Raw genomic sequence first — 17,740 nt, 5'->3', positions numbered from 1 at the left:
AGATAAGCTGTCTATGGGTGATACACAAAATAATGTGATTTTATTTAGTGATTGATTTTTATCATCATCAATCAGTAGCAAATATTGGTAGCCAAAAGAAATGTCAGTGTCAGCCTGTAAGTGAGCTATCTACATGGACTGAATTCCAATTTGTAGACGTCTGAATCTAGATGCAGGTATATATGCTTGATAACCAAAGAAAAATGAGAGGATCAAATTATAAATAACAGAAAAACAGGAAATATAGGACCTACTCTTTTCTCTCATTATAAGTAGAGCTTCACAGTATTAAACAGTACATCTTAATTGACATATGGACCTTCATATTTTTGAATTCTTGGCATTATATAGGCCACAGCCTTTGCAAAAAAATTTAAAAATCCTTAAGTATTGTTACAGGCCCATTGGAAGATGGTGTCAAATAATTAGGTTTTCAAGTAATTATGTTTTCCATACTTTAAAGTCTGCCTGACAACATACTAACAAAGTTCTAGAGTTCTGATCTCTGTTCATGTTTTGTTAGTAAGTACATTTATGTCTTGAGTAAGTGGATTTAAATGGAAGTTTGGGATTCTCTTATTCTAGAAATTCAGGTACAGCTTCCAACTGTCTTTTGAGAAAGCGAGAAACTGTACAGTTTGACCTACCCAAAAAATCCTTTACTGATTTCTTGTTGAACTGATTATAGATATATAATTTGCCCACAGGTGATCTTTAGTACATTAAACAGAAAAGACATACATTTTCAACGGTCATTTCTTGTATTGACAGCTTGTATTTTGAGGGCTAGACACTGTAATGTCTAATTTACAAACCACCAAGGGATTGAAAATCATCTAAAATTCATCAAAGAGTTAGTGATCATATAATTGTCAGTTTGACTCACAAGTTCTAGGTTTATACTTGAGATAACTTTCCAGTATTCTACACAGTTAATCTAATACTAACCAAATAATTTATTTACAACCTGAAAAAATGATAACAGATTTAATTGAGGACACATCCTAGAAATTGTTACAGATGGCGAGTGTGCCTGTGGAAGATGATGAGGTTCTTGCTCTTGATTATCTGCTCCAGGAACAATTCTTGGTCAACTTCATGTTGCAGCTGCCTTTTCTTTAAAAGCAAAAAAATGTATATATATTATATACATGTATGTCTATAACCACTAAGTCTAAATGCACATATATATATATATATATATATATATATATATATATATATATATATAAGCTAAAAATCTCAATTTGCCTTCTTTCCAAGTTACCACTTTCCTTTTCTGTTCTTGAGTCACTTATTCCTGCCTATAGGCTGGCAAACTGTTTACGAATAAGAAGCAGGATATCTACTTCTTTCCTAATGGCTATCTCTGAAAAACAGAAACACACTCTTTTGTATTTTTAAGTGGGTTTGTTGCTGGTAATTACAAGAACATAAAATGTAGCACAAAAGGCAAGACTCACTTGTAGAATTATTTAGTCCCAGAAACATGAAGAAATAGCTACTTGGTCTTTCCCAACTTTTATTTAGATTTGTGAATTTAAATGTTATAGACCCTGCCCATCATGCCTTCCTCTTTATTTCAAGCACCTAAAGCAGCATCTGACATATATCAGATGCCGGATAAATATTTGTTTTATAGCTAAATGAAGGCCTTTATGAATGACTTATCTTTTCATAACACTGTGACTTGCTTCCTTTCTAAACATCTGGATTTGTTCTCCTTTGAGAATCAGCATACTGAACCATAGCTAAGCATGCACACAGACACACAGACACACACACACACACACACACACGAGGCCCATGCTGAAAGCAAATCTCTGTGACTTTATCATTTATCCATTTATCATTGTATTATTTTGCTTTCCTGAAAGACTTTGACTGTTATTTTAAAGTCTACTTGTACTTTGAAGTAAAGCATTATTTCTTCTCCATTTGTTTGAAACATGAGCTCTGCAAAATGTGTTTTGTAAAATTTAATTGTAAATGATGCTTTCAGAAAAAGGGTTTTGTGGCCTAATTATGATCAATACTAGCATAATTTTTTTTCTGAAAATTCCTGAAATAAAATAGCCAATTTCATTATGTTTAACTTGATTCCTTATCTTTATTTGACCAACAAAATTTCTTTCCAAACCCAAACATTTCATCTCAGTGAAACTACTGCATCACAGGATACCTATTTTTATATCCTGTCTTCGAGTAATATGAGGAATATGATTTCACAAAGAGTCATGTACCACACATACTTTGATGAAGGACTCTACTCAAAACAAATAGTTATGTCAAAACTGTCTCCATTTTTCACTTCATCCCAACATTGTGAAGACCTCTAATTCTGAGTTCATTTGTGGAACAAAAATAAAGACCACACTCTGATTCTAACAAATTATGAATACCACCTATATTTGGTCACCAACTGTAGCTACTTTCACAGGTTCTCAATATCATGGATACCTGGACCCCCCCCCACCCACAGACAGACCTCAGATTCATATAATCACAGCTTGCTAATAAACTATTGTCAACAGTAAAAATAAAAAATAAATAAAATTAATATTTGATAAAATAAGACAAATAATAAAAATTTCAAAATGCTCTACAGATTCAATGCGCTCTGTCAACTTTTATGAAAATGGAAGAACTCATCTAAAAATGTATGCTTTTTTTAAGATGTAAGATTAGAGGCTTTTTGCATGCCTCAGCTACTTGGATATAGCAAGATAATGCATAAAGAATAACTCTGTGAACTTTAATTCAATAGGGAAATAGAAATCCACCAGAATCACAGAATCATGAAGGAAATTCCAGATTCTTTGAAGGAAGAGTGACAAACAGCCCTTGATGGCGTGTGGCTTATAACAGTGAATGAAGCCCTAGTGTACAAGAAAGGCAAAAAGCTTCCGTCTGTGACTCTCCTTTCCTCTGGGGATCTAAGCAAGCCAGGCTGAGAGAGAAGGCTTTGTTTCTCCCAAGCCCTTGAGCTTACTTGGGGAGAGTCTTGAAGACACTGTGATAAAAAGACACCAGGAAAAGCCCCATTTTCCCAGACACGAGACTGAGAGCAGGATGCCACCTTTAATCCAGGTGCACACAAAATCAGCCATTCTTTGGTTGCCTGGCAGCATGGCCACACAGGCATTTTAGTCAGGATGGAGACTGGATTGCCTGCTCTGGTTTGGGGTAGGGGCCTCCACAGCCAGATGTGTGGAAAGTGTCTCAGCAATAGGCACTGGAATTGTGCTCTTCCATGGTTCAGGCCTGGGGCAGAATAGCTGCTACAGTTGCAGTTCTCTTGGGTGATGAGACTTACAGCTAAGGCCAGCTTGGCAACCTAGAACAAGTCTGTGTGTGCCATTCCTGGGTGTCCCAGCCTCCTCCCCTGAGACTGTTGTGCAGCAGAGCCCTCTCTCCTATACCCCAAGGAAGAAATCCAGGTTTTCAGAGTATTTCTTTGCCTGGATCAGCAGCCTAAGCCAACCCACCCTTCCTGTGCATAGGTCTTGGTGCAGTGGGGCCCTCTCTACTACACACACAGCTGAATCTCCAGGCAGATGGAGCACCCACTTGCCTAGAGCAGCATCCTGAGCCACCCCATCCTTCCTGTGCAGAGATCCTGGAGCAGGGGAGCCCTCTTTGCCCCACTCCCAGGCAGATCTCTAGGCATCTGGAGAACTCACCCTCCTGATTACAAGTGTAGGTCACCTCCCATAATCATGCAGAAAATTTGGGGCCAAGGAAGTTTCCCAGCTCCATGCCTGTGCACATCTTTGTGTGCTTGGTTGCCATTCACTGGATTCGCCTTTGGTGCTGGTGCATGCGCCTGCCATTGGGGTACCTGTAGCTAGACCTACCTGGTCCGGCCCCACCCATTTTGGACTCCACCCCTCTGAGCAGGGAGCTAAGACCAGTATGCACCCCACAAATCAATTCATTGCGTGAGGCAACAGATAATTTCTCCAGGTAAACAAACAACGATTACAGCATATACCCAGCTAAATTGGGTAGCCAGCTCTTATCTATAAGGGTCATCTACTGGCTTGTAAGTCAAACTACACAGCACAATCTAACCCAGCAGCAGAAGTGCATAGGGCTATAGAAGCAAAACCAAAAGACCCTACCTAGCATTCTGTACAGTTGTACCACTTAGGTATGGGGTAAAGGGAAATTGAAATAAAAAATAATAATACTATTACAGGGAAATAAAGTAAAAGAAAAAAAACCCTACCTGCACAAAAATAATTACAAAAGTTAGAAGTGCTAGTGTTTCCAGATGAGAAGGAACCTGTACAAGAATTCTGGCACTATAAAATATCTAAAGTAGTGGCACCACCAGAGGATAGCACTAGCTCTCCAGCAACAGTCCTTCACCAAAAGTAGAAACTCAGATATAAAAGATAAAGAATTCAAACCATGATTTGCAAGACAGCTCAATGAGATTCAAGACAAGGTTGAAAAAACAAAGAAACTTCTAAAGCAATCCAGAAAATGAAGGAAGAGATAAACATATTTTAAAAATCCATTAGAGGTTCTAGGATTAAAAAACTCACTTAAACACATTTCAAAACACAACTGACAGCTTTATCCACAGACTGCACCACCAAACAGAATAAAAATTTTCAAAGCTTGTAGACCGGTCTTTTGAACTGACTCAGTCAGACAAAAATAAGTAAAAAATAATTTTAAAAAATGAACAAATCTTCTAGAAATATGAGATTGTGGAAAGCAACTAAATCTACAAATTCCTGGCATTTCTAAGAGAGAAGGAAAAAAAGTAAACAACCTGGGTAACATATTTGGGGGAATAATTTAAGAATATTTCTCTAATCTTGCTAGAGAGGGAGATATCCAGATATAAGAAGCCAGAGAACACCTGCAAGACACTATACAAAAAGAACATCCCCAAGGCATATAGTTATGAGACTCTCCAAAGTCAACACTAAAAGAAAATATCTTAAAGGTACCAGGAGAAAAAGGTCAGATTATATTTAAAGGGAATCCCATTAGTCTAACAATGAACTTCTCAGCAGAAACTTTACAATGCAAGAGATTGAGAGCCTATGTTCAGAATCCTTAAAAAGAAAGGAATTTCAGCCAACAATTTTATATCCTGCCAAACTAAGCTTCATAAGTGAAGGAGAAATAAAATATTTTTCAGACAAGCAAGTTCCAAAAGAATTTGTTACTGTAAGACCAGCATTAGAATACATGCTTAAGGGAGTTCTAAACATGGAAATGAAAGAACAATACCTACTACCAAAAGAACACACTTAAGTACATAGCCTAGAAACCCTATAAAGCAACCACACAATAGAAATCACAAAGCAAACAGATAACAATTTCACTACAGGTTCAAAATTTTATATATAATTATTAACCTTGAATGTCAATGCTAAGATGCCACTCTTAAAAGTTATAGAGTGGCAAGTTGGATAAAAAGCAAGACCCATCTGTCTACTGTCTTCAAGAGACCCATCTCACACATCGTGTCACCCATAGTCTCAAAGGAAACAGTTGAAGAAATACCTAATCATGCAAATGGAAAACCAAAAAGAGAAAGATTTGCTATTCTTATGTCAGAATAAGACAGATAAAACAGACTTTAAACCAACAACAGTTTTAAAAAATACAAAGAAGGGCATTGCATAATGATAAAAATTTCAATTCAACAAAAAGACTTAATGGGCCTAAATATATACACACAAAACATTGGAGCACCCAGATTCATGAAACAAGTACTTCTAGACCTATGCAAAGATTTAGATAGCCACAGAGTGATAGTGGAAGACTTCAATATTCCACGACACAATTAGACAGGTCATTGAGGTAGAAAACTAATAAAAGAAATTCTGGATTAAATTTGACACTTTGTTGCTTAGGCTGGTCTCAAACTCCCGACTTCAGGCGACCCACCTGACTTGCCTCCCGAAGTGCTGGGATTACAGGCGTGAACCCCCTCGCCCAGCCCATCTCTACTAAAAATACAAAAAGTAGCCAGGCATGGTGGCAGGCACCTGAAGTCCCAGCTACTCAGGAGGCTGAGACGGGAGAATTGCTTGAACCTGGGAGGCGGAGGTTGCAGAAAGCAGAGATCGTGCCACTGCACTCCAGCCTGGGTGATGGAGCTAGACTCCGTCTCAAAAAAAAAAGAGAAAAAAAAAGAAAAACATAATTGATGCTTGACCAATTGGACCTAATGAGCATCTACAGAATACTACCCAACAAACACAGAATGTACATTCTTCTCATCTGCACATGGAATATATTTCAAGATGGACCACTTGCTCAGCCATAAAGTAAGTTTCAATAAATTAAAATTATACCAACCATATTCTTGTACTACAGTGGAATAAAAATAGAAATCAAAACCAAAATCTCTCAAGCCACACAATTACATGTAAATTAAACAACTGGCTCATGAATGACTTTTGGGCAGACAATCAAATTAAGTCTGGAATTAAAAATAATCTTTGAAATAAATGAAAACAGAGACACAATCAACCAAAATCTCTGAAATGCAGCAAAAGACGTGATAAGAGAAAAGTTTATAGCATTAAACATCTACATCAAGAAGATAGAAAGATTTCAAATTAACAATCTAACATTATACTTAGAGGAACTAAAAACTAACCCCAAAGCTAGCAGAGAAAAAGAAAGCAGTAAAATCAGAGCAGAATTGCCTGAAATTGGGATCCAAAAATACATACAAAGGATCAATGAAATTAAAAGTTTGTTCTTTGAAAACACAAACAGGAGCAATATACCACTAGCTACAGAAACGAAAAGAGAGAAGATCCAAATAAGACAATTAGAAACAAAAAGGGCAATATTACAACCATTTCTACAGATTTATAAAAGATCCTTACAGACTATTATGAACACCCCTGTACACGCAAACTAGAAAATCTAGAGGAAATGAATAAATTCTTGAAAATACACAATCTCCCAAGATTAAATCAGGAAAACGTGGACACTCTGAATAGACCAACAGTGAGTTTCAACATTAAGTCAGTAATAAAAAGCTTACTAATATGGTTAGGCTTTGTGTCCCCACCCAAATCTTGAGTTACAATCCCTATAAGTCCCACGTGTCAAGAGAGAGACCAGGGAGAGGTAATTGAATCATGGGGGCAGGTTCCCCATGCTGTTATCGTGATAGTGAGTGAGTTCTAATGAAATCTGATGGTTTTATAAGGGTATCTTCCCCCTTCTCTCAGCACTTCTCCTTCCTGCCACTTTGTGAAGAAGGTATCTTTCTTCTCTCTCACCTTCTGCCATGATCCTAACTTTTCTGAGCCTGCCCCCCAGCCACGCAGAACTATGTGAGTCAATTAAACCTCTTTCCTTTATAAATTACCCAGTCTCAAGCATGTATTTATAAGCAGCGTGAGAACGGGTAAATACACCTACCAACCACAAAAAGCCCCAGATAAGATAAAGTCATGGCTGAATTCTACTAAACATAGAAAGAAGAGCTGGTACCAATTCTACTGAAACTATTCCGAAAAATTGAGGAGAAGGGAATCCTCCATAACTCATTCTGTAAAGTCAGCATTGCATTGATACTAAAACCTGGCAAGGACCCAACAAAAAAGAAAACTGCAGGCCAACATCCCTAATGAACATAGACACAAAAATTCCTCAACAAAAGATTAGCAAATTGAATAAAAAGGCACATCAAAAATTGAATTTACCATCAAGTAGGCTTTATTTCTGGGGTGCAAGTTTGTTTCAACATACATAAATCAATAAATGTGATTCACTACACAAACATAATTAAAAACAAAAACCATATGACATTTCAGTAGATGAAAAATGTTTTGATAAATCCAACATGGATTTATCATAAAAATCCTCAAAAAAGTAGGCATAGAAGCAATATGGCTCAAAATAATAAGAACCAGCTATGACAAAGTCACAGACAACATCATACTGTACAGGCAAAAACTAGAAGCATTCCCCTTGAGACTTGGAACAATAAAGAATGCCCACTCTCACTAGTCCTATTCAACATAGTGATGGAACTGCTAGCTACAACCATCAGATAACAAGAAATAAAAAACATTCAAATAGGAAAAGAGTTCAAACCATCTTTGTGGATGATATAATACTATACCTAATAAACCCTAAAGACTCCGCCAAAATGCTCCCAGGACTGGAGCCATTATCCTAAGCAAATTAATGCAGGAACAGAAAACCAAATACTGCATCTTCTCACTTATAAGTAGGTTTTAAACATTGGGGTTACTCATGAACACAAAGATGGCAAAAATAGACACTGCAGACTACTAGGAGAAAGAGGGAAAGAGGGTGTCAAGGGGTGGAAAACTACTGAGCACTATACTCACAACCTGGATGATAGGATCTATTGTATCTCAAAAACTTCAGCATGATGCAATGTACCCAGGTAACAAACTGGCACAGGTGCCCCCTAAAGCTAAAATAAAAGTTGAAATTATCTTATAAAATTCATATGGAATCTCAATAGACCTAAAATAGCTAAAACAATCTTGAAAAAGATCAAAGTTGAAGGACTTACTTGCTTATTTTAAAACTTACTATAAAGCTATAGTAATCAAAACAGTTTGGTAGTGGCATAAAGACAGACATATAGAAGACAAAGTAGAATATAAAGCCCAGAAACAGATCTCCACGTATATGGTAAAATTATTTTTGGCAAGGGTTCTAAGATCTTTCAAAAGAGAAAGGACAGTCTTTTCAACAAATGGTGCTAGAAAAACTGATTATCTGCACGCAAAGAATTAAGTCAGAATCTTACCTAACAGCCTATACAAAAATTAACTCACAATAGATCATAGAATTATTGGACAACCTAAAACAATAAAAAACTTAGAAGAAAACATATGGCAAAAGCTTCGTGACATTGGATTTGGCAATGATGTCTTGGATATGACATCAAAGGCACAGGCAACAAAAGAACAAATAGACAAATTGGACTTCATAAAAATTTTAAAAATTGTGCATCAGAAAACAGTATCAATAGAGTACAAAGGCAACCCATATAATAAAAAACTTATTTGCAAACCATATATCCTAAAAGGAATTTATATCCAAAATATGTAGAAAACTAGAACTGAACAAGAAAAATGAAACAACCTGATTCAAAGTAGGTCTATTCTCTCACAATGATTTAATACACTTATTATCGGACAGAATTTGTTCAGACTTCGCTCAGGTCTATTTGAAGATAATGAGGGCTCGAAAGCAAATTCATATTTTATGGTGTTTATGGAAGATTGAGGAAGAGTACACAGATGTGAATTCCAAAATGTAAGGACTGATTTAAATGGTATTTTTGTGTGTGTCAGAGTTCTATTTATTTGTACCATGCAAATATGAGTAGAATAATATATATTAACATTACATACTTTGTGCTACAAGCTGTGTTATAAAATTTAAACAGATTTTAGAATAGATAAAATTTAAATATAATTATTACTTTTGAATCACTACTATTAGACTGAATTACTTAAAGCAATTTAAAAATCTGAAAGTGCCTTATAAGAGTGTTATTTATTATAGCATGCCTCATTGTTAGCATTTCTTATACTGAGATGGTTAATTTTAATTGTCAATGTGACCAGATTAAGGGATATACAAATAGCTGGGAAAGCACTGTTTCTGGGTATATCTGTGAGAGTTTTTTTCAGTAGAGATTGGCATCTGAATTGTTTAATGAGTAAAGAAGATCCATTCTCAGAGTTGGTAGGCCTCATCCAATTGGCTGAAGGCTCAAAACAGACCAAACAGGCAGAAGAAAGTTGAATTACCTCTCCCTCCTGGATATGGGGCATCCTTCTTCTTCTGCCCTCAGATATTAGAACTTCAGGTTCATTGGTCTTTGAAATCAGGGCACACTAGTGTCCCCCAACATGCTCCCATCTCTCCCCCAGCCGCAGGGTTCTCAGGCCATCAGACTCAGACTAAGAGTTACACCATTGGCTTTTCTGGTTCTGAGCACACAGATTAGAATAAGCCACACTACAGGCCTCCCTGATTCTCCAGCTGGCATATAGTTTATCCTGAAACTTCTCAGCCTCTATAATGGCATAAGCCAATTCCCCTAAAATCTCCTAAAATCCATCAGATCTCGTGAGATCCACTCACTATCATGAGAACAACATGGAAAAGACCCAACTCCATGATGCAATCATCTCCCACCAGGCCCCTCACACAACACATGGGAATTATGAAAGCTACAGGATGAGATTTGGATGGGGACACAGAGCCAAACCACGTCAGTTTCAAATAGCTAGAAGGTAGATATCAAATGTTCCCATCACAAAGTCATGATAAATAATTGAAAGGATGATATGTTAATGACCCTGATCTGATCACCATGAACTATATGTATCACACCATCACCATGAACCTCCTAAATATGTACAATTATTATGTCATTTTTAAAAAATTAAAAAATACTTTCTTCAGTATTTAACCATCTCTTTGTGACTTTTTCCCATAAAAGTTTAAGAATCAATGACAATTTTGCACAGTTCTTTAACTACAAAGTATTAATAACTTTCTACTCATTGAGAACCTCTTTCTATGATAGAAAACAATTCTGACTGGCCTGCCAAGTTATTTATGGAATTAGCATAGCTGTGACCTGTAGTGTAGCTGACATCTTTCCCAAGCTGCTTATACAGCTATGTTTTGTCTAGTAATCCTAATTACCTTTTTGGTTAAGATGGCTGCTGCTGTTAGAATGTATCAATGACTCTACACTGGAAAATGATTTCATTATGCTATTGCACGTGCGTGCATGCATGTGTGTGTGTGTGTGTGTGTATTTACTAATATACCTGCTCAATTTCTTCTCTTTCATCTGAGACTTTCTGGCACTCTGGAGCATACATTCTAGTGTGAATTACAGGCAATAACTTTATACACACAGGAATATGCATGTCTGTGCATGTATATAAAAATGTGTAGTAATAGCAAATCCTTGAAGAAAAATTACTGGATTGAGGAAGGAAAGAGTGAATTGGGGTTGCTACCATGAATAAGGTAATCAACAAAAACTTCTCTGGGAAGTTGACATTTTTTAAGCAAAAACCTCAATGAATGAAGTGAAACAGCAAAGTATGTGACTATTTTGGACAATAGTATGCAAGTGTGTAGGGAAAAGCAACAAAAAGCGATTGAGAAAGAAGCAGATGTGAGAAACAGCTGGAGACCTGTGTGGCATTTTGATTTCTTTAGAAAAATGAAATGGTCACTGCCAGGCTCCTGTAGATAACATAACACTGTTAAATCTCCAAAAAATGTTTTAGGTCTTTGAACTGCTTTGCCTTTAAAGTGAGAGACTGGAGTTCCGACAGTCTTTTTTTATGATCCTGAATTATTTTCACTTCTTCAAAGTTGACTTGTTTAATGCCAGCATAAGAGACAGAAACAACTTCATTACTTTATTCAGACTTTGCAAAGAGAAAAATGTTACCAATGCTATTTTCAGTATACAAAATAGGATTTCTCTTAGGAAATTTCCTGTCCAATGATTTCAATGTACATCTTTAAATTTGTTGTATATAGTGTTTATAATAAAAATATATTCTAAAAATAAATTGATTTTCAAAATATAATTATGGAAATAACTGGGATGGAGGGAGGAGAAAAAACTAAATGGCTTATATATTGGATATCATTATATAAATAAAGTTATGAAGTTTAAAAACCTTGTTAATTTTTATAAAATAAATGCTTCCTCTACTTTTGGATATACAAACCAGACTAACTTTCACATTTGAGAACACTAACAATAGTGCATGTACATTATGTGATTAAGCAAACAACTCACTTTTGATCTACAGGATATTGAATATAATTTCTCAGAGAGATGTAGGAGAGAGTGTTGTTCCGGGGAAGATAGTAGCTTGAGAGATCAAAAGAGTACAGGTCAAGTGGGCAATGAAAGATCAAGAGGCAGCTATGATCTCATGTCAAGGCTAAGTTAGATAAGAAGTTACTATGTAGTGCTCATATGAATGTCAAAATAAATGAGAAAGACATGGAAAACAAGCTCTACAAGAATTTATGGAACCAGGCCATACATAATACTGGAGAGTCACATAAGATGAGTATTAGAAACAAGACAAGCAGTTAGGAAAGCAGAAAGCGGTCAGCAATGACACTGAAATGTTGAAAAAGCAGTGATGCTTACCTCAGACAGGAAACTTGCAAAGACTTCCTGTGTTAACAAAAGCCAGTCCTAGGAAATGGCCTGGCGTGGTCTTGGGCAGGGGTCCCCAACTCCTGGGCCGTGGACCAGTATCAGTCGGTGGCCTTTTAGGAACTAAGCCACACAGCAGGAGGTGAGCTGAGGGCAAGCTAGCAAACCTTCATCTGTATTTACAGTGCTCCCCATCGCTCACATTACTGCCTGAGCTCCACCTCCTGTCAGATCAGCAGGGGCACTAGATTCTCATAGGAGCTCAAACCCTGTGTGAACTATGCATGTGAAGGATGTAGGCTGCATGTTCCTTGTGAGAATCTAATGCCTAATGATCTGTCACTGTCTCCCATCACCCCCAGATGGGACCATCTAGTTCCAGGAACACAAGCTCAAGGCTCCCACTGATTCTACATTATGGTAAATGGTATAATAATTTCATTGTATATCACAATGTAATAATAATAGTAATAAAGTGCACAATAAATGTAAAGTGCGTGAGTTATCCTGAAACCATCCTCCACTTTCAGTCCACGAAAAAATAATCTTTTGCAAAACTGGTTTCTGGTGTCAAAAAGATTCCCCAATCTTTTTGTACTCTCCATTGGTCTTGAATACAAAGGCAATGCATAACTGTAGGAGTATAACAACCTGGTTGGATTGGGGAACCTGTTGCAGAGAGTAGTTTTTGACAGGAAATGCACAGGCACAAATTTATGGACCATTACATGGGGCAATAGAGAGTCAAGTTGCATCCATAATGTATAGCCAGCCATATAGCTTGTCTAAATTTGATGTTTACTAGTCACATTCGATTTGAAGACTCTTCAGAGGTGTCATGATGTGAGGTGGTTTATCTGAATGAACAAAGATACATTTGAAAAGAATTTCATAAGCATTTCTCTATGACTTTGCAACAATCTGCTTCTTCTCACCCCCACATGAAATGAAATTAGACTTTTTGTCTCATTACTGAGATTGAATGCTTTCCTTGGTTATTTGTGTGGAAGGGAATATAAATTCTCTACTCCATTTCTGGCTTTTGAAAAGCCTGGCTAAGGAGACATACCTGTGGAAATGAGGAGGTTCTAACCTCATCAGTTTAAGTGGAGACCATTTAAATAATTATGTTGCACCAAGTAATATATTCTGATGTCCTACAAATCAATGCCACTTTTTATGTCTTTTCTTTTTCGTTTGTATTAATGACTTCAATATCCTTTTACTAAAGGTAACCCTAAATATATCGAAGATTAATAATGCCAATCCAGTGTACGTTGATTATGATTGAGTCCTTGATATTCTCTGTATTTTCAAAGAATAAATACCACCTAAATAATACCTCTTTAGTTTTATTATTCACCTTGGAAATATGCACCTTTGGCATATATATGATTGGAAAGGACTCATGAAAATATCCTCAAGAAAATTATAAACCTTAGGATAATATATTGTTTTGAGTTTACTCTTTTAATCTGCAACCCAAGTATTTCCATACAAAAATTGTAAGCTTATTCCTTTGTGAAAAAATTTTACATTGTTTTGCTTATGACTCAAGAAATTCCATAATTTAAAAAATGCATTCCAAGAAAGCCCTGGTAGTAGGGGGAATCAGTAAGTATTAAGCATTTACTATATAATAGTACTCTTGGACTTTTGACAATCACCAAGTTCTCACAACAGACCTATAATATGTGGACCATTAAACTCATATTTCAGGATAAGGAAACAGACACTGAGAGGATAAATTATCAGCCTAGGGTCACGCAGTTGGACAGTAACTGGGTTTCACATCCAGGTCTTACTAAATCCAAAGTTCAATGATCTTACTACCTGTGTAGCCAACAATGACTATGTGGCCTCTAGATTCTCAGGGAAGTGGGAAATGGAGCAGATCAAATATGAACACTTGAGAGAAGAAGCTGGCAGCAGGAGAGTAATAGCGGTCATCTGGAATAGATTGTATCGCTTTTTTCTGTCTTCTTGCAACATTCAGTCTGTATATAGAGGCAGGATGTTAAGTAAGTTCATTTTGGCACAGGATTGAGCTTTCAACACAAAATGTAGTGAGACTAAAAGTTTTTTAAAAACCAAAGCTAGAACATTTAGTGAAATTCTTAGAAAGCCATTATGGCATACTACTTGCAAAAATGACTACAAATCTTCACCCACCCCTGTATCTGCATTCTTTTCAATGCTATTCTTCAGGAACTAGAAGTACCAGGAATTAGGATCTGTTTATTCACCTATTCAATAAAAACTGACTGTATAGCTTTCTTTGTTTAATAAAATGCATACAAAGTAATAATGTACTCTTCATTACTTTTTTATTTTCAGAGAGCTTGTGCTCTTCTAATTTTATCTTGGATCTCACAGTTCCTGTGTATATAAGTCCAGGCTAGTCTGCTCTACCTCACAGCCAGACAACTGAGAACCACTTGAGGGTGACTGTCCTAGACCAGGAAGCTTCCACTGAAACCCACAGCCGATAGCAGATGCAAGAGTAAGCCTAACTTTAAAAGACTAAACTCTTATCAGCATATGTGCCCAAATGGTCCATGACAATAATACCTGGGTTTTTCCATCTTAAGCTTTGGGATGGTTGTTATACAATAATAGCTAAGTAATATAGCTGGTGAGCCATATGGTTTTTTAAAAAAGTAACACATATCCAGAAACTCCATTTCAGGGAAATAGTGAATATCAGTGGTAGAAAGAAATGTCATTCAGAAATTCTCTCTTCCTCTGTGAAAAATACAGAAACATAGTGCTTGAATACGCATTCTGTAGTAATTTATTATTGCTTATAATTCCTAGCATGACTCAGAGATAAGAATAATCGGTATTTTAGTCTTTCCCAGAATTGAAATGTTGGGGTAAGCAAAAAGGTTTGGTAGAAAGAGGTTTATCCCATCTAGAAGCATTACCTAGAAACTAATATCTGGGAGAGTTTATATACAAATGCAATGACATGAGAATTATTCATTGTGTTTAAAATGTCACTGTATAACTCAAACAATGCAATAAGATTTAGCTCATAATTTACAAAAATTATTACATCCCAGGTGTTGTCTTATTATAGCAACTAAAAGAAAGCAATTGTCAGCCTCCCATTTGTGTCTTACCTATATAGACATTCCATTCTAAATGGGTTGAACCTGTTAGAATTGTTGGGAGTTTTGAAATGACAAGTCCAGCAAGAGAAAATAGATTCAGTTTTTGTTGAACGAAAACATCTGAGAAAGCAGAATACCAGTATTCCTGTTCTTTATCATGTAGAAGTTAGAATTTAACGAGCCATTCGATAGACTTGAATTAGTCAGAAGGATTTAAATTTTCTAAATGTCTGGTAGATAAAGAAAAGATGCGTCCTTCAACATACATACGGTTGAGTACAGTTCTATATTTACTTATATATAAACATGTATCTGTGTGTTTAAAACCCTATTTAAATAAAATAAGACATTTGTGATATTAAAATCATAAAACAGGATTATTGAAATATATATGTGAAAGTGAAACAAACATAATTTAAAAGGAGAAAAATAATAAAAATTTTCTGGTTATAGGATGACATGATTGCTATAATTGAGTACAAATTTGAGCATTAAGCTTGCTCAAAGTTCAGGCATAATGAAAAATATTAGGAACTTATTAAGATCCTCCTATATATTAGGCACCTATTTAAGCATATTATCTATTTTATTTCACTTAATATACAACACAATAATCCTATGACAGAAATACATAAGGCTGTATATCTTATTGGTAGTAGAAGAAATACAGGTTTAATACAAGATATTTAGTTCATATCCTGGCTTTGCCATTAAAAAGCCATGTAATATTTTCAGGCCTCGATTTCCTCATCATTGTAATGGAAGTAATAAATAACATATTTATTTATTCTTTTGTGCAGTTAACATATTTGAATACACACTATATTATGAAAAATAATTAAGAAATAACTCGTGTGTGTGTTTGTAATAAAGCAAATTCAACATAAACAAATGTGCCAGGAATTTTTTATTCTTCTTCTAAACACTGGAATAATAAGCAAACTTAGAGGTAGCTCACAGTGTAGAAACAAAGATAACTAGACAGATAATTGAGTGACCAAAAAAGTGGTATGGATAATATATATATTTTTAATTGCTGTATACCAAATTACCAAAAACTTACTGTCTTAACTAATGTACATATATATATACACATATATATACATATATATACACATATACATACATATATATACACATATACATACATATATACACACATATATACACATATATATACATATATACACATATATATACATATATATACATATATACACATATATATACATATATACACATATATACATATACATACATATATACACATATACATACACATATATACATATATACATATATATACATATACACATATATACATATATACATATATATACACACACACACACACACACACACACATATATATATATATATATATACTGTCTTACGGTTTCAGTGGGGTAGGACTACAGGCATGACTTAGGTGAATCTTCTGCTGAGGATTTCATAAGGCTGTAGTCAATGTGCTAGGCAGGCTGAATTCTCATCCAGAGGCTCATCTGGGAAAGAATCTACTTCTAAATTCATTTAGGTTGTTAACAGAACTCATTTTCTTACAACTGCATAACCGAGTACCATGGATTTTGTTGTTTCTTGGCCCAGGGGCTTCTTCAATATGGCTGTTTACTTCCTCATACCCACAAGTAGAGTCTCTAGCTCTAGCTTGTTTATATGGCATTAGTAAAACAGGAGTGACAGCACATCATCTTTGTCATATTCCATTGGTCAGAACAAGTCACAGGTCCTTAAAACATTCAAAAGAGGAGATTATTCAAGGCATAAATACAGGAAGTGAGAATTGTTGAGGGTCACTCTGGGGTCTATTTCTCACAGGTACACAGAAGGGAATATGAAACATGAAAGTAAAGTGTGTCAGAGAGAGGGTCGTAATTAAAATGACAGTATGACATTTGAGGCTATGAAATATGTTTGAAATTTTACCTTGTGAAATGGAATGGCAGGAAGGCAAGAAGGTATTTCAGGTAAGTGTCGTGAAAACTCACCAATGGGAATGTATTTTAAATCTTATTCTCTCTCATACATTCTTTAATAGTGTCCTGTTAAATAGCATAATCAATACATATCTTATGATCTATCGTAATATTTTGATCTATTTTACTTGTATTCACATTATCTTTTTACTTTATTCAACATAAAATCAAATTTATAACTTACCACAATTAAAAATAAAATAAAATATGTATTGGTTCATACTACACTGATATATTTGTTTGCAAAAGCATACTTAAATTTGAAAATGAACTGATATATATGAATATATATTAATATATCATTGTTTACATTTTTTATTCCACTTTTCCTTTATAATTATAGCATTATTTGTGTCCACATTTTATGTGCCCTACTCGTTTTAAAACTTTTTATGTAACATTTATCTGAATCATATATATCTTTCTTTTTT

This window comes from Homo sapiens, chromosome 4 (genome assembly GCF_000001405.40).
Source record: "Homo sapiens chromosome 4, GRCh38.p14 Primary Assembly".
NCBI classification, from domain to species: domain Eukaryota; kingdom Metazoa; phylum Chordata; class Mammalia; order Primates; family Hominidae; genus Homo; species Homo sapiens.
This window is presented reverse-complemented; position numbering follows the sequence as displayed.